Source organism: Homo sapiens, chromosome 4 (assembly GCF_000001405.40).
Source record: "Homo sapiens chromosome 4, GRCh38.p14 Primary Assembly".
In the NCBI taxonomy this organism is placed as follows: domain Eukaryota; kingdom Metazoa; phylum Chordata; class Mammalia; order Primates; family Hominidae; genus Homo; species Homo sapiens.
The window spans coordinates 154,054,237-154,072,786 of NC_000004.12; the positions used below are offsets into that span (position 1 = coordinate 154,054,237).

The 18,550-nt window shown below is 42.8% G+C and overlaps 1 long non-coding RNA gene across 2 annotated transcripts in view; it reads left to right on the forward strand.

Moving 5' to 3' along the window:
• Positions 1 to 18,550, forward strand: part of LOC101927947 (uncharacterized) — a 469,997-nt gene that overhangs the window by 225,414 nt on the left and 226,033 nt on the right. The window lies entirely within an intron of this gene.

Consider the following 18,550-nt stretch of genomic DNA (forward strand, 5'->3'; position numbering starts at 1 on the left):
TTCTTTTTTTGTTGTGTCCTTGCCTGGTTTTGGTATTAGGATTATGCTCACCATATAGAATGAGTTAGGAGGAATTCCCTCTGCTCTAATTTTTTGAAATAGTTTGGAAGATTGGTATTAATTCTTCTTTAAAGGATCAGAAGAATTTAGCTGTGAAGCCATCCAATTCTGAACTTTTCTTTGTTGGAAGACGTTTTATTACTGAGTAAATCTCATTGCTTCTTATAAGTCTGTTCAGGTTCTCTATTTCTTCTTGTTTCAATCTTAGTAGGTTATATGTACCTAAGAATTTATTCAGTTCCTCTAGGTTTTCAAGTTTATTGTCATATAGTTGTTCATGTTAGTCTCTAATGATCATTTGTTTTTATTTTTTCCATCTGGTTTTATTTATTTGAGTCTTAGCTATTTTTTTCTTAGCTAACCTAGGTAATGATTTGTTGATTTTGTGTATATTTTCAAAAAACTAACTTTTTGTTTCATTCATCTTTGTTGTTTTTTTAGTCTCAACTTTGTGTATTTTCTGTTATTTTTTTCTCTTGCTTAGTTGCCCTGGCTAAAATACCCAGTACTATGTTGAATAAGTGTGGTGAGAGTTGACATCCTTGTCTTGTTCCGGTCTTAAAGGAAACATTGAAAGCTTTTCCGTAAGATATTAGCTATGTGTTTGTCACTTTGATATTAATATTAAGTTAATCTTTAATTTAAACTTTACTATTTCTTTCCTCTACTAATTTGGAGTTTGGTTTGGTCTTGCTTTCCTAGTCTCTTTTTCCATTGTTAGGTAGGTTGTTTATTTGAAATCTTTCCAGTTTTGATATAGGCTTTTTTGCTGTAAACTTGCCTCTTACTACTGCTTTTCCTGTGTCCCATAGGTTTTACTATGTTGTGTTTCTATTTTCTTTTGTTTCAAGGAATTTTTAAATTTCATTCTTAATTTCTTCCATTACCCATTGATCATTCAGGAATATGTTGCTTAATTTCATGTATTGGTATAGTTTCAAATGTTACTTTTGTTTTTGATTTTTCATTTTATTCCCTGGTGGTCAGATGAAACACTTGATATGATTTTGACTTTTTAAAACTTTTTAAGACTTCTTTTGTGTCCTAACATAATGGTCAGCCTTGGAGAATGTTTCATGTGCTGATGAAAAGAATGACTGCTCTGCAGCTGTTGGGTGAAATGTTCTGTAAATGTCTGTTAGGTCTATTTCATCTACGGTGCAGTTTAAATCTGATATTTCCTTGTTCATTTTCCATCTAGCTGATCTATCCAGTGCTGAAAATGGGGTGTTGGAGTCCTCAATTATTATTATATTGAAGTCTATCTCTCCCTGTAGATCTAACAATATTTGTTTTATATATCTGAGTGCGCCAGTGTTTGGTACATATATATTTACAATTGTTATATTCCCTTGCTGAGTTGATTCTGTTATTATTTATGCAATGTCCTTCTTTGTCTCTTTTTACTGCTTTCAACTTGAAGTCTGTTTTATCTGATATAAGTATAGCTGTTCATGCTCACTTTTGGCTTCAATTTGCATAAAATATATTTTTCCATCCTTTCATTTTTCAGTCTATATGTGTCTTTACAGGTGAGGTATGTTTCTTGTAGGCAGCATATTTTTTGGGGGGACATCTTGTATTTTTATCCATTCAGCCAGTCTATCTCTTTTAAGTGGGGAATTTAAGCCATTTACATTCAATGTTATTATTGATAGGTGAGGACTTCTGCCATTTTATTGATTGTGTTCTGGTTGTTTTGTATATTCTTTGCTCCTTTCTCTCTTATTGTTTATTTTTGAGTTGAGTGGTTTTCAGTAGTGACAAGTTTTGATTCCTTTCTCTTTTTCCTTTATGCATCAGCTCTACCAGGGAGTGGTATAGTTTGGATATTTTCCCCACTGAAATCTCTTGTTGAATTTTAATCTCCAGTGTTGAAGGTGGGGTCTGGTGGGAGGTGTTTGGGTCATGGGGCTAGATCCCTCATGTTTTGGTGATGTCCTTGTAATAGTGAGTACTCACAAGATCTGGTAGTTTAAGTGTATGGCACTTCCCCTCTACTCTCTGGGTTGCTCCTGCTTTTGCCATGTGATGTGCCTGCTCCCTCTTGACCTTCTACCATTATTGACAGCTCTCTGAGGCTTCATCAGAAGCTGAGCAGATGCCAGCATCATGCCTCCTGTAAAGTCTGCAGAACTGTGAGGCAATTAAACCTCTTTTCTTTATAAATTACTGTCTCAGGTATTTCTTTATAGAAATGCAAGAATGGCTTAACACAGAAAATTGGTACCAGGGGTGGGACATTGCTGTGTCAGGTCTCTGAGCCCAAGCTAAGCCATCATAACCCCTGTGACCTGCACGTATACATCCAGAGGGCCTGGAGCAACTGAAGAACCACAAAAGATGACATTCCACCATTGTGATTTGTTCCTGCCCCACCCCAACTAATCAATCGATCTTGTGACATTCCTCCCCTGGAAAATGAGTCTCATGATCTCCCCATCCTGCACCTTATGACTCCTGTGGCTGCCTGCAAGAGATAACCACCTTCAACTGTAATTTTCCACTATCTACCCAAATCCTATAAAAAGTGCCCCACCCCATCTCCCTTTGCTGACTCCTTTTTTGTACTCAGCCCACCTGCACCTAGGTGATTAAAAAGCTTTATTACTTGCACAAAGCCTGTCTGGTGGTCTCTTCACACGGACTCATGTGACATTTGGTGCTGGAGACCCAGGACAGGGAGACTCCTTCAGGAGACTGGTCCCCTGTCCTCGCCTCTCTTTGTGAGGAGATCCACCTACAATGTCAGGTCCTCAGACTAGCCTAAGGAACATCTCTCCAATTTTAAATTGGGTAAGCAGCCTTTTTTATTCTCTTCTCCAACCTTTCTCACTATCCTTCCACCCTTCAATCTCTCCCTTCCTTAATTTTGGTTCCTTTCCCTTTCTGGTAGAGACAGAGGAGACGCGTTTTATCTGTGAACTCAAAACTCCGGTGCTGGTCATGGACTCGGGAAGCCAGTCTTCCCTTGGTGTCTAATCACTGCAGGGATGCCTGCCTGATTATTCACCCACATTCCAGGTGTGTCTGATCACCGCAGGGACCCCTGCCTTGATCCTTCACCTTTGTGGCAAGTACTACCTCCCCTGGGTGGCAAGTACCACCTCCCCTTGGTGGCAAGTACCACCTCCTGTGGGTGGCAAGTACCACCTCCCTCCCTCCGTGTCTCTACCCTATCTTTTCTCTAAACTTACCTTTTTACTATGGGCAACCTTCCGCCCTCCATTCCTCCATCTTCTCCCTTAGCCTGTGTTCCAAAAAACTTAAAACCTCTTCAACTCTCACCTGACCTAAAACCTAAGCCTCTTATTATCTTCTGCAATACCACTTGGCCCCAATACAAACTCGGCAGTGGCTCTAAATGGCCAGAAAATGACACTTTCAATTCCTCCATCCTACAAGATCTAGATAATTTTTGTCGTAAAATGGGCAAATGGCCTGAGGTGCCTGATGTCCAGGCATTCTTTTACACATTGGTCCCTCCCTAGTATCTGCTCCCAATGTGACTCATCCCAAATCTTTCTTCATTCTCCTTTCTCTCCTGTCTGTCCCTTCAGTCTCCACCCCAAGCTCTGAGTCCTTTGAATCCTCCTTTTCTACAGACCTATCTGACCTCTCCCCTCCTCCTCAGGCTGCTCCTCGCCAGGCCGAGCCAAGTCCCAATTCTTCCTCAGCCTCCACTCCCCCACCCTATAATCCTTCTATCACCTCCCATCCTCACACCCAGTCCAGCTTACAGTTTTGCTCCGCGACTAGCCCTCCCAACAATCTCCTCTTGGAGAGGTGGCTGGAGCTGAAGGCATAGTCAAGGTTAAGGCTCCTTTTCTTTATCCACCCTGTCCCAGATCAGTTAGTGTTTGGGCTAGTTTTCATCAAATATAAAAACCCAGCCCAGTTCATGGCCCATTTGGCAACAACCCTTAGACGCTTTACTGCCCTAGCCCCAGAGGGGCCAGAAGGCTGTCTTATTCTCAATATGCATTTTATTACCAATCTGCTCCTGACATTAGAAAAAGCTCCAAAAATTAGATTCCAGCCCTCAAACCCCACAACAGGATTTAATTAACCTCGCCTTCAAGGTGTACAATAATAGAGAAGAGGCAGTCAAGCAACAACGTATTTCTGAGTTGCAATTACTTGCCTCCGCTGTGAGAGAAACCCCAGCCACATCTCCAGCACACAAGAACTTCAAAATGCCTAAACTGCAGCAGCCAGGCATTCCTCCAGGACCTCCTCCCTCAGGATCTTGCTTCAAGTGCTGGAAATCTGGCCACTGGGCCAAGAAATGCCCGCAGCCCAGGATTCCTCCTAAGCCATGTCCCATCTTTGTGGGACCCCACTGGAAATCGGACTATTCAACTTGCCCAGCAGCCACTCCCAGAGCCCCTGGAACTCTGGCCCAAGGCTCTTGGACTGACTCCTTTCCAGATCTTCTCACCTTAGCGGGTGAAGACTGACACTGCCCAATTGCATTGGAAACCTCCTGGACCATCACAGATGCTTTGGGTAACTTTTACAGTGGAGGGTAAGTCTCTCCCCTTCTTAATCAATATGGAGGCTACCCACTCCACATTACCTTCTTTTCAAGGGCCTGTTTCCCTTGCCTCCATAACTGTTGCAGGTATTGACGGCCAGGCTGCTAGACCCCTTAAAACTCCCTCACTCTGGTGCCAACTTGGACAACATTCTTTTATGCACTTTTTCAGTTTTCCCCACCTGCCCAGTTCCCTTATTAGGTTGAGACATTTTAACTAAATTATCTGCTTCCATGACTATTCCTGGACTACAGCCACATCTCATCGCTGCCCTTCTCCCCAACCCAAAGCCTCCTTTGTGTCTTCCTCTCATATCCCCCAACCTTAATCCACAAGTCTGGGACACCTCTACTCCCTCCCTGGCAACCGATCACATGCCTATTACTATCCCATTAAAACCTAATCACCCTTACCCGCTCAACACCAGTATCCCATCCCACATAGGCTTTAAGGGGACTAAAGCCTGTTATCATCTGCATGTTACAACATGGCCTCTTAAAGCCTACAAATTCTCTTTATAACTCCCCTATCCTACCCATCCAGAAACCAGACAAGTCTTACAGGTTGGTTCAGGATCTTTGCCTTATTAATCAAATCGTCCTTCCCATCCATCCTATAGTGCCAAACCTGTACACCCTCCTATCTTCAATACCTCCTTCCGCAATTCACTATTCCATTCTTGATCTTAAAGATGCTTTTTTCACTATTCCCCTGCACCCCTCGTCCCATCCTCTCTTTGCTTTTACCTGGACTGACCCTGATATCCATCAGTCCCAGTAGCTTACCTGGGCTATACTGCCACAAGGCTTCAGGGACCGTCCTCATTAGTTCAGCCAAGCTCTTTCTCATGATTTACTTTCTTTCCACCCCTCTGCTTCTCACCTTATTCAATATATTGATGACCTTCTACTTTGTAGCCCCTCCTTTGAATCTTCTCAACAAGACACCCTCCTGTTCCTTCAACATTTATTCTCCAAGGGATATCGTGTATCCCCCTCCAAAGCTCAAATTTCTTCCTCATCTGTTACCTACCTTGGCATAATTCTTCATGAAAACACAAGTGCACTTCCTGCCAATTGTGTCCAGCTGATCTCTAAACCCCAACCCCTTCTACAAAACAACAACTCCTTTCCTTCCTGGGCATGGTTGGATACTTTCACATTTGGATACCTGGTTTTGCCATCCTAACAAAACCATTATATAAACTCACAATGGGAAACCTAGCTGACACCATAGATCCTAAATCCTTTCCCCACTCCTCTTTCTGTTCCTTAAAAACAGCTCTGGAGACTCCTCCCACACTAGCTCTCCCTGACTCATCCCAACCTTTTTCATTACACACAACCAAAGTGCAGGGCTGTGCAGTCGGAATTCTTACACAAGGATCGGGACCACGCCCTGTAGCCTTTTTGTCCAAACAACTTGACCTTACTGTTTTAGGCTGGCTCTCATGTCTGCATGCAGCAGCTGCTGCTGCTCTAATACTTTTAGAGGCCCTCAAAATCACAAACTATGCTCAACTCACTCTCTACAGTTCTCATAACTTTCAAAAACTATTTTCTTCCTCACATGTGACGCATATACTTTCTGCCCCCCAGCTCCTTCAGCTATACTCACTCTTTGTTGAGTCTCCTACAATTACCATTGTTCCTGGCCCGGACTTCAATCCAGCCTCCCACATTATTCCTGATACCACACCTGATCCCTATGACTGTATCTCTCTGATCCACCTGACATTCACTCCATTACCCATATTTCCTTCTTTCCTGTTCCTCACCCTGATCACACTTGGTTTATTGATGGCAGTACCACCAGGCCTAATCACAATTCACCAGCAAAGGCAGGCTATGCTATAGTATCTTCCACATCTATCATTGAGGCTACCACTCTGCCCCACTCCACTACCTCTCAGCAAACCAAACTCCTAGACTTAACTGAAGCCCTCACTCTTGCAAAATGACTGCATGTCAATATTTATACTGACTTTATATATGCCTTCCATATCCTGCACCACCATGCTGTTATATGGGCTGAAAGAGGTTTTCTCACTACGCAAGGGTCCTCCATCATTAATGCCTCTTTAACGAAAACTCTTCACAAGCCTGCTTTACTTCCAAAGGAAGCTGGAGTCCTTCACTGCAAAGGCCATCAAATGGCCTCAGACCCCATTGCTCAAGGCAACAATTATGCTGATAAGACAGCAAAAGAAGCAGCCAGTATTCCTACTTCTTTCACTCACGGCCGGTTTTTCTCTTTCTCATCAGTCATTCCTACTTACTCTCCCACTGAAGTTTCCACCTATCAATCCCTCCCCACTCAAGGCAAATGGTTCTTGGACCAAGGAAAATATCTCCGTCCAGCCTCAGAGGCCCATTCTATTCTGTCATCCTTTCATAACCTCTTCCATGTAGGTTACAAGCCACTAGCCCATCTCTCAGAACCTCTCATTTCCTTTCCATCATGGAAATCTATCCTCGAGGAAATCACTTCTCAGTGTTCCATCTGCTATTCTACTACTCCTCAGGGATTGTTCAGGCCCCCTCCTTTCCCTACACATCAAGCTCAGGGGTTTGCCCCTGCCCAGGACTGGGAAATTGACTTTACTCCTGGGAAACTCCAGGAAACTTGGAGTTTCCTGCTCCAAGTCAGGAAACTAAAATACCTCTTGGTCTGGGTAGATACTTTCACTGGATAGGTAGAGGTCTTTCCTACAGCATCTGAGAAGACCACCATTGTCATTTTTTCCCTTCTATCAGACATAATTCCTCAGTTTGGCCTTCCCACCTCTATACAGTTCAATAATGGACTGGCCTTTATTAGTCAAATCACCCAAGCAATTTCTCAGGCTCTTGGTATTCAGTGGAACCTTCATACCCCTTAGCATCCTCAATCTTCAGGAAAGGTAGAACAGACTAATGGTCTTTTAAAGACACACCTCACCAAGCTCAGTGACCAACTTAAAAAGGACTGGACAGTACTTTTACCTCTTGCCCTTCTCAGAATTAGTCTGTCCTCGAGATGCTACAGGGTACAGTCCACTTGAACTTTTATATGGACGCACTTTCTTGCTCAGCCCCAACCTCGTCCCAGACACCAGCTCTCTAGATGACTATCTTCCAGTCCTCCAGCAGATGAGACAGGAAATTCACCAGGCTGCTAGTCTTCTCTTGCCTACTCCAGATTCTCAGCCATATGAAGACACCCTAGCTGAACGATCAGTTCTTGTTAAGAATCTGACCCCTCAAACTCTACAACCTCAATGGACCGGACCCTGCTTAGTCATCTATATACCCCAACTGCAGGCCTGCAGGACCCTCTCCATTCCTGTTCTAGTGATTGCCCCCCTCCATATCACTGTTCCAGAATAAAGCTGTATCTGTCAGCCAGCCAGCCTGATCTCTCCTCTTCCTCCTGGAAGTCGCAAGTACTCACCCCTACTTCCCTTGAACTCAGTTTCATTTCTGAAGAACAGTAATAACACTTATGAGCCTAATACATCTCTTCATTCTATTACGTCTATTCATCCTTACCCTACTTTTTGCAACAGGGCTTTACATAGTCACCCCCACTACTTGGACCGCACCCTAAAAACTTGTCATCCCTACTATCTTCTGTCTAGTCATACTCCTATTCACCATTCCCAACTACTCATAAATGCCCTGCCCTTGTTTACACTGCCAGTTTACACTTTTTCTCTAAACCATCATAACTGATATCTCCTAGTTTTACCTCAAACTGCCATTCTTGACTCCCTCTTGGAGTGGGTAGGTGATCTTTGCTGACAGGGCACCCTCCAATACTTTCACCCTGATGAAGTCCTATTCTTTACTTGTATACTCACTCTTATTCTCGTTCCCGTTCTTATGCCACCCTCTACCTCTCCCCAGCTATCTCCACCACACTATCAATCTCACTCACTCTCTCCTAGCTGTTTCTAATCCTTCTTTAACAAACAATTGCTGGCTTTGCATTTCTCTTTCCTCCAAAACCACTGAGGCCTCAACTTACTCACTGCTAAAAAAAAAAAAAAGAGGACTCTGTATATTTTTAAATGAAGAATGTTGTTTTTACCTAAATCAATCTGGCCTGGTATAGAAAAACATAAAAAAAAAAAAAAACAAACTCAAGGATAGAGCCCCAAAACTCGCCAACCAAGCAAATAATTATGCTGAACACCCTTGGATACTCTCTAATTGGTTGTTCTGGGTCCTCCCAATTCTTAGTCCTATAATACCTGTTTTTCTCCTTCTTTTATTCAGACCTTGTATCTTCCATTTAGTTTCTCAATTCATACAAAACTGCATCCAGGCCATCACCAATCATTCTATATGACAAATGCTCCTTCTAACAACCCCACAATATCACCCCTTACCGCAAAGTCTTTCTTCAGTTTAATCTCTCCCACTCAAGTTCCCACATTGCCCCTAATCCTACTTGAAGCAGCCCTGAGAAACATCACCCATTATCTCTCCATACCACCCCCAAAATTTTTTGCTGCCCCAGCACTTCACCACTATTTTGTTTTGTTTTTCTTACTAATATAAGAAGACAGGAATGTCAGGCCTCTCAGCCCAAGCTAAGCCATCATAACCCCTCTGACCTGCATGTATACATCCAGAGGGCCTGGAGCAACTGAAGAACCACAAAAGATGATATTCCACCATTGTGATTTGTTCCTGCCCCACTCCAACTAATCAATCGACCTTGTAACATTCCTCCCCTGGACAATGAGTCTCATGATCCCCCCATCCTGCACCTTGTGACCACCGCCCCTGCCTGCCCTGCAAGAGATAACCACGTTTAACTGTAATTTTCCACTACCTACCCAAATCCTATAAAACTGCCTCACCTCTATCTCCCTTTGCTGACTCTCTTTATGGACTCAGCCCACTTGCACCCAAGTGAAATAAACAGCCTTGCTGCTCACACAAAGCCTGTTGGTGGACTCTCTTCACATGTACTTGCGTGACACTATGAAGATACCTGAAAATGTGGAGGCGACTTTAGAACTGGGTACTGGGCAGAAGTTGCAAGAGTTTGGAAGGCTCACAAGAAGACAGGAAGATGAGGGAAAGTTTGGAACTTCAGAGACTGGTTAATGGTTGAGACCAAAATTCTGAAGGTGATAAAGACAATTGAGTCCAGGCTGCTGAGGTCTCATATGGAAATGAAGAAGTTTTTGGGAACTGAAGCAAAGGTCACTCTTGCCATGCCTTAGCAAAGAACTTGGCTGTATTGTGTCCATGACCTAGAGATCTGCAGAAATTTAAACTTGAGAGTGATGACCTAGGGGATCTGGTGGAAGAAATCTTTTAGTAGCAAAGTTTTCAAGAAGTTGACTGGTTGCTTCTAACAACCTATACTCAGATGTGGGAGCAAAGAAATGACTTAAAGTTGGAATTTATATTTAAACAGGAAATAGGGCATAAAATTTTGAAAAATTTGCAGCCTAGCCTTGTGGCAAAGAAAGAAAAAGCTTTTTCAGGAGAGGAATTCAAGCAGGCTGTGGAGCAACCACTTGTTAGAGATATTTGCATAACTAAAAGGGAGCCAAATGCTAATATCCAAGACTAACAAGGAAAAGGCCTTAGAGGCATTTCAGAGACCTTTGAGGCAGCCCCTCCCATCACAGGGAAGGCCCCCTCCCTCCTGAAGCCTAGGAGGATTAAACAGTTTCATGGGACATGCCCAAGGTTCTGCTGCCCTGCACAGCCTCAAGACACTGCTTCCTGCATCCCTGCTCCTCTTTGGGAGCCCCCTCCTCACACCAGTGTGCCCTGAATTGTGGGAGACAGAGTCAACGAAAATTACTTTGAAGCTTTGAGATTTAGTGATTGCCCTGCTGGGTGTTGAACTGGCTTGGGGCCTGCAGGTCCTTTTTTTTTTTTTTTTTTTTTTTTGGCCAATTTTCCCCTTTTAGAATGGGGATATATGTATATACCCCTATTGTATCTTGGAAGTAAATAACTTGTTTCTGATTTTAAAGGTTTGCAGGTGGAAGGGACTTGCCTTGTCTCAGATGGGACTTTGGACTTTTGAGTTACCACTGGAATGAGTTACCACTTGGTAACACTTGGAAGAGTGTTGTAAAGGCATGATTGTATTCTGCAGTGTGAGAAGGACATGACATTTGGGGAGGCCAGGGACAGAATGATATAGCTTGGATATTTGTCCCCACTCAAATCTCATGTTGAATTATAATCCCCAGTGTTGGAGGTGGGCTTGGTTGGAAGTGTTTTAGTCATGAGGGAAGATCTCTCATGGCTTAGTGCTATCTTTGCAATAGTGAGTGCCTTGCACGATCTGGTTGTTTGTGTGTGACACCTGCATCCCTTCTCTTGCTTACCTCTGCTTTCACTGTGTGATGTGCCTGTTCCTTTTTTACCTTCTCCCATGATTGAAACTTCTTGAGGCTTCACCAGAAGCCAAGCAGACGAAAGCACCATGCTTCCTATAAAACCTGAAACACCATGAGCCCATTAAGCCTCTTTTCTTTATAAATTACCCAGTTTCAGGTATTTCTTTATAGCAATGCAAGAATGGCCTAACACAGGGAATTTTATGGTTTCATATGTTTTCATAAGATGGTTATTGTCTTTTCACTTCTAGATGTAAGATTCTCTTGAGCATTTCTTGTAAACCTGTTCTAGTGGTGATCAATTTCCTTAGTGTTTGCTTATCTGTGCAAGATTTTTATTTCTCTGAAGGATAGCTTTGCTGGATATAGCATTTTTGGCTGGCAGTTTCTTCTTTTAAGAAATTTGAACATACAATTTTATTCTTTTGGTTTCTGCCTAGAAATCCACTTTTAATCTAATGGAAATTCTCTTACATGTTACTTTATGCTTTTTCCTTGCTTTGTCTTTGACTTTTGACAATTTCACTATAACATGCCTCAGAGAGGACCTATCTAAATTGAATCTATTTGAGGTTCTTTAAGCTTACTGGACCTGGATGTACGTCTCTCTCCCAAGATTTGGAAAGTTTTCTACTATTATTTCATTAAATGTGTTTTCCTCACCTTTTCCCTTCTCTTCTCCGTCTGGAAGGCCCATAATATGAATATTCGTTAGTTTAATGGTATTCCATAAATCCTATAGGCTTTCTTTATTATTTTTTATTCTCTTTTCCTTTTTCTTGCCGCTTGTATTATTTCAAAAGAGCTGTTTTCAAGTTCAGAAATTTTTTTTTCCTGCCTGATCTAGTCTGTTGTTGAAGGTCATGACTGTATTTTTAAATTTCATTCATTGAATTTTTCAGCTCTAGGATTTCTGTTTGGTTCTATTTTATGATATCTAGCTCTTTGCTATATTTCTCATTCAAATCAGGAATTATTTTCCTTGTTTCATTGAATTGTGTATCTGTATTCTCTTGTATCTCACTGAATTTCCTTAAGATTATTATTTTGAATTCTATTTCTGGTATTTCACATATTGTCTTATGATTGGGATCTGTTACCTCCTTTGGAGGTAACATATGTACTTACTTTTTCATGGTTGATATGTTTCTACATTGATTCCTATTCATCTGGGGGAAAAGTCACCTCTTGTAATTTTATGGAATAGGCTTTGTAGGGACTTATTTATATGAATAGGTCTTGCGGTATTGGTCTGATGGGGTACATTGATCTTGGCTCTAGGTGGATGCAGTATATAGTCTCTGTGTAGTTTCTTCAGCCATAATCCACATTAGTGGTATTTGTGAGTTTCTCAGTGGCCTAGGCTGAGAGAATCTGTGGTGATGGTGGTGTAGCTTAGCCAAAGGCGGGCTTGTCTGGCTATTTCTCTAGCTGGGGTTGAGTCAGCTAGCTTGGGGTCTGTCTCTCTGGGATTGAGGCCATGGGCTATCTGGCCAGGAGCATGGACATACAGTTGCTTGGCCAGCTTGGAGTTATGCCTGCCAGGAGCAGTGTGCAGCACTGTTTCTCAGGCCCAGGACACTGCTTACACTGCTCAGTTTTTCTAATGGTGTGTTTTCTAAGGGCAGAGCACATGGCTATTTTTCAGGTCTAAGATGTAATAAGATGGCTTCTCAGCTGGCTTGGATGCAAGTACACTGAGGGTGGCCCAGGGGACTGTTTCACCATCTTGGACATGGGCACACTGCTGCTCAGCCAGCCTGGGGGTGTGTCTGCTGGGGGCGGCCCATGGGGCTGCTTCTCAGGCTCAAGATGTGGGTTCAAGACTGTTTGGCTGGCTTGGGGACATTTCTGTAGGTGGTAGTCCATGGAGCTGCTTTGTAGGCCTGGGACACAGGTACAGGTCCACTTTTTCAGTCTGGTGGTGTGCCCACCAGAGGTGCTACCTACAGATTTGTTTCTCAGGCCTGTTTCTTGAGCCTGGGATGTGGGTACATAGCTTCTCAAGCTTGCTTGGGTGCATGTCTGCTAGGGGCAGCCTACATTTTTTTTCAGGTCTGGAATGCAGGTGTGAGGCTGTTCAGCCAGTTCAGAGGCATGCCCACGAGGGGCAGCCTGAAGGGCTGTTTCTCAGGCCCAATATGCAGGCACATGGCTGCTTGACTTGTCTGGGATATGTTCCGCAGGAGTGGCCCACAGGGCTGTTTTCAGGTCTGATACATGGGCTGTTGGCTGTTCAGCCAGCCTTGGACTATGCTTATCAGAGGCAGCTTATGGGATTGTTTTGCAGGCCCTTATGGGTGGAGGGACATTGGGAAGGCCAGGGGTGTCTGCAGAGGGGCAGGGTACTGTGGGGCTGTTTCTCAGGTCCTGAGCCCAGGTCCATAGCCTCTCTGTTGGCCCGGGGTTGTATCAGCTGCTTGGAAGCTCAGGGGCCTCTTCCATTTGGGGGCGATCTCAGTAGTTTGGCCAATTCAAGGGCAGATTTGAACTGGGCAGAGCTGGAAGACTATTCCTCCATCTGAAAGTATGGAGGCAGGAATTGGTTTCTCTGCTGTGCAGGACTGAAGTCACAGCAGATACTGGGTTCAACTCTGCAGAGCTAGGGGTGTGACATTTAGCCACTCATGTGGGCTTGGTGAAATAAAAATGGAGTCCCAGTGCTGAAGAGGTGCAGTGACTGCTGGTCCCCAGAGTAGGGAGGACTCAAGAGGTGGCTCTGGTCTCAAGATGGTGCTGTGCCATAACAGCTTGTCTCCCAGGGGGTGGGTGGGGAGTGCACAACTTGTGTTTCTAACCTGGGGCAATGAAGCTGCATGAATTCCTGGCATCTCTCCAAACTGGGCTCAGGGATTGTGAGGACTGTGGGATTCTCCTGTAGTAAGAACCTTAGGTGTTTGTGGTGGCAATAGGAGCTGGTGGGGATCTTCTCTTACCTTTCCCCTGCAACAGAAAGTCCCTCCTGTCTCTGAGCAGATTCAATCTAGGTTGGGGAGACAGGGCTGCAGAGGCTTGGCCCCTCCCTGCTGCTTTCCTGGACTTCCAGTCACCACAGTTGCATCTTCACTTTCCTGTTGCACTCTAGCACTCTCGTTTCAAATATTAGCTGTTTGTTCTGTGCCTTGGTTCTTTCTTGTAAGAAGGGCAAATTCCAGGCATCTCTAGTCAGCCATCTTGCTGATGCCACTGCAAAAGAAAAAAAAAAAAAACAAATATTATTTATCTTGATTACTGAGCTTTCTGGATCCCCTTAAATTTGGTTTCTGTGGTGAGTGCCTCATTGACCTTACCCTAGTCCTGGCCCTGATTCTCAGCCCCCATCTTTGGGACCCTTAGGTGCCAGACAAAAGTGGTAATGGCATTAAGGGCAAGGCCCTTAATATAGGCTATATGCCACATTATTTAGTAGCCTCTATAATGTGGAGATCAGTTAGCTTTATCTGTACAAAACTGCAAATGAGTGGAATCTATGAGCAGGGCAAACATCTAGCAGTTGGGTCCATAAAAAGAAAAGGAGGGAAGGTGATACCTTCCAAGTGGGAGATGGGAGGAGCATTGAGCAGTACACTTAGGGTCAAACTGCCACCTCCTTTATTCTCATGGGCTGGAGAGCTCTGGGCAATTTGGTTACACTAGGAAGTTACTTCCAGCCTCAGTTCAGCTAGGAGGCTTTGGATGAAATTCTCTCTGGGCCTTGATTTTCTTTTATGTAAAATTAGAAGATTTTTGATTAGCCATTTCTGTTCTTTGTCACAATACTAAATATGTGTGACTTGATTTTGTTTTTCCAATGGTGATTTTCTAAAAATCAGCTCTTAAAAATACAGTGTCAGCCAGGCGCAGTGGCTCACGCCTGTAATCCCAGCACTTTGGGAGGCCAAGGCAGGTGGATCATGAGGTCAGGAGATCAAAACCATCCTAGCTAACATGGTGAAACCCTGTCTCTATTAAAAATACAAAAAATTAGCCGGGCGTGGTGGTGCACCTGTAGTCCCAGCTACTCAGCAGGCTGAGGCAGGAGAATTGCTTGAACCTGGGAGGTGGAGGTTGCAGCGAGCCGAGATGGCACCACTGAACTCCAGCCTCAGTGACAGAGTGAGACTCCATCTCAAAAAAAAAAGAATACAATGTCTTCATTATAAATGATAGCAAATTTGGAAAATCAGAAAAGCGCAAAGAGAAAAAAAATTGTTCATTATTCTACTTCTCAGAGATAACTGATGTTGATATTTTGGTGTATCTAGTCCACACACACATTGTATATAAAACGTACACTACTTTTGGTAACCTTTACAGATTTGGAGGAGAGTGGCTAGAAAGGTGGTAGTGAAAGAAATCTTAATTTGTTTAGAGTCTCCTCTGGAAAAGCTCTGGATTAAAGTTTAATTTTCACAACTGGTGAGGTATTCATTTTTATTTCCATTTTACAAATGAGAAAACTGAGATTCAGAAAAGTTGAGTGGCCTTCCCTAGGTCCCTAGTGAATAAATAAGCAAGGCAGGGTAACAGCTCAAGGCTATCTGTAGGAAATGCCTAGATTATCTGCAGCCCACCCCACTGTTTCCATCACTCTCATTGGGAAAATAAGTCTGGCAATAAAAGCCATATTCCATGCATAGGTAAATACATTTTTACTAAAATTAAATATATTGTGGGACTCTGAGAATTCAAATTTAGATAAAGTCTATAAGATATTCAAAAGGGTTTGTTTTTCTCTGCTATTTCTAGAGAATATCTTTTCTTGGGCAGACTTAAATTCAGGTTCTGGCAAAAATGCCTGCATGAAATTTTTTTCTGAATGGAAGGAAAGCAATTTTTTATTGAATTTGGAAAGCATATACTTAACATCGATACTGATCGCAAGAGATTAGGCAAAACTTTCTTTTCTACTTTAAAACTTTAATTCAAAATGTGCTGTTGAGAGTGGAGTCAAAATCAGTGCTTTGGTAAAGTCTCTAGGGTTCAGGTGCTATGCAGGTTCTTACATTAGGTATTTGAACCACACATTTTAAGGTAATGATCTCACAGCTGCCTTAAAAATGTACTAATTGTAGAAGGGGGAGACATGCAGAAACTAAACATTAGCTGGTGGAACCATGGGAACTCTTTTAGGAACTGAACTTCAATATGCTTGAATGCTTGAGTTAACTATTACTTCAAGAGAATCTAGATTTAGGAAAAGACAGAATTTTATAGGCTAAACTGAAGCATTTGAGTCTACAATGGGTGTTTTGTTAAAAAGTTCTTCCCATTCCCCAACACACTAAAAAGACAGAAAGTTGAGTTGCACTGGTAAGGAGAGCAGGGTAGGACACAAGGCTGACTCTCGGCGCTTGCGGAGGGGGGCTGTAAATTAGCTCCTTCCTTTTTATGTCTTGGGTTTCCCATCAGTGAAACCAGTGAAACCCATGATACAAAACTTTCTGCTACCTTCTCAACTCTCACCTTCAATGGCATGTTTTGAGAAGATGATTATCTGCCCATATATCCAGACAGTTAATTCCAAGAAAAAATAGTGCATAAAAATCAATGGTATTTTGCTTTTCATCCCTTCTTTCTTTCTCCCATGGCTAGGACAAGGCAATCCAAGTGGGGAAGTGTGGAGGAAGGGATCCCCCTTCCAGAGTCTGCTCAAAGGGCTGCTCACTACACAGGTGGGAGAGTCAGGTTGTAACTTCATCTCCTTAGCTGCAAATAACCTTGCCCATGTCCCAGTTTCTTCATCTGCAAATTGGAACTAATATTTATGTTGTAGCTCAAAGGGATTTAGTCAGGCCTAATGAGATCAGTTGTGCAGCGGGTTTGGTGCTTGTTGGATGAAAGACATTATATAAATACATCGTCATTTTCATTAGGATTATTTTCATCATCATTCTATGGTAAACACAGCTGTGGCAACATATGTTTTAAAGATTTAAATAAACATTCCTAAATTTGTGAAACCTGATTCACTTTTGCCCAATTTGGCTAAATTTGCCATCATTTTGAATATTCTGAAGGCAAGCCTTTCAATGCACAAAGCCTCCCCTCCATAACAAGGACCTATTCACTGACAAGCACAATTTTCTTTCTTGCAAGCTCTTGAAAAACAGCAAAATTGCCCAAAGTGATGGCCTGGTAATTTGGAGGTGGGGCTCCCTTATAGGAATGGTGTGAAGGAGGGTCATTTATAAAAGTGACACTGGAGTGCATCCCAGTCCTGCCTACCTCCTACACAAAAGCTTGATTCCTGGAAAGGTAGAACAAATCAATTGAAGGGGCTTAAGTAGTTTGTTTGTTTGTTTGTTTGTTTCTGTGTTTTAACTTGGAGATCAAATCATGGCTATGTCTTTAGCGGTTCAAAATATTGGCTATAGGCCACTTGTATTTTGGGTCATATCATAACTATTTACTTCATCTTTTCCCAGGATTAAGCATGTGGTGACCCAGCTGCACAATTTAAAGGGCCCAAAGCATTGAATCCTTTGTGCCTGTATGAGTTACATGGAACCAGCTGTAGGCAGTGTTGCACCAGTAAAAAGGACTCACACCTTTTTTGGCTCTTTCCCCAAAGACATTGTCTTCAGTGCTTTGGGTGGCAGAACCATAACTCTCAAGTTTCTTTTGGGGCAATGCAGATAAGTAATCAGCTAAATCAGGGACAATCCAAGGACTCCATATTTTGGCTTTTTCCGATATGCCCATAATTGAACAAACTCGGTGTCAGGGCAGTGATTAATTAGGTTTGCAACCCTGCTGTTGATTCCTTATTTATCTTTACACAAACTTGTTCTCAGTCTTGAGTACATTGCATAAACTGGTGATTACCTGTCTTGGTTTTATAACATTCCACACTATCTCCAGTTGCCTTAGAGTTGTACATTTTAAAAATAACTTTATTTAATTTATTGGAAGAATAAATACATGTCCTAGAGTGCTTTTAGGGAGAAACGTTTTCAAGCCAAATAATAATAATAGTTTGGGAGTATCTCGCATAGAGAGATAGTGGTAGTGATGACCAGATTTAGAGCTTTTACCTTAATTTAGGCTTCAGGGTGTGCCCCGGGAAAGGGTCACCCAGAGGGGGGGAAAAAACACGTTTAGGAAGATGAAGATGAAACATTCTTATCAGGAGACAAAAGGAGGAGGATGTTTTGCTTTTCTCTATAAAGCTAATACTATTTGTTAAGCCAAAGAATTTCAAACCTCATGAACACGTTACCTCAGAATCTCATTCTTGGGTTGAGAGTATAGCCAGGAATGTTCAGCTTAACAAATTTCTAGGTGATCCTGTTGGAAGTGGTTTCTATAATTGCAATTTGAGAATAACTGATTTAAATGCCATCTCTTCTAATCCAATTCAAAATGAGAGCAATAGTAAATCAGTGTTCTCCAAGAAGACACTAGCTGTGTTGTTCTTAGAGAGCTACCCTCCACACTCCACCTTTGCCCTTCATCCAAGAAGAGGAATAGGCGGTAAGAAATGAAAGATATCCCTGGAGACTCCAAGAAATATCTGGGTGAGCTTTTGGGGCAGGGGGAGACAGGTGAGATAGGTCCTCGTTATCTCATGGTCCTGCAAAGAGATAAGGCCTCCAGGAAGTGGAGGAATGGA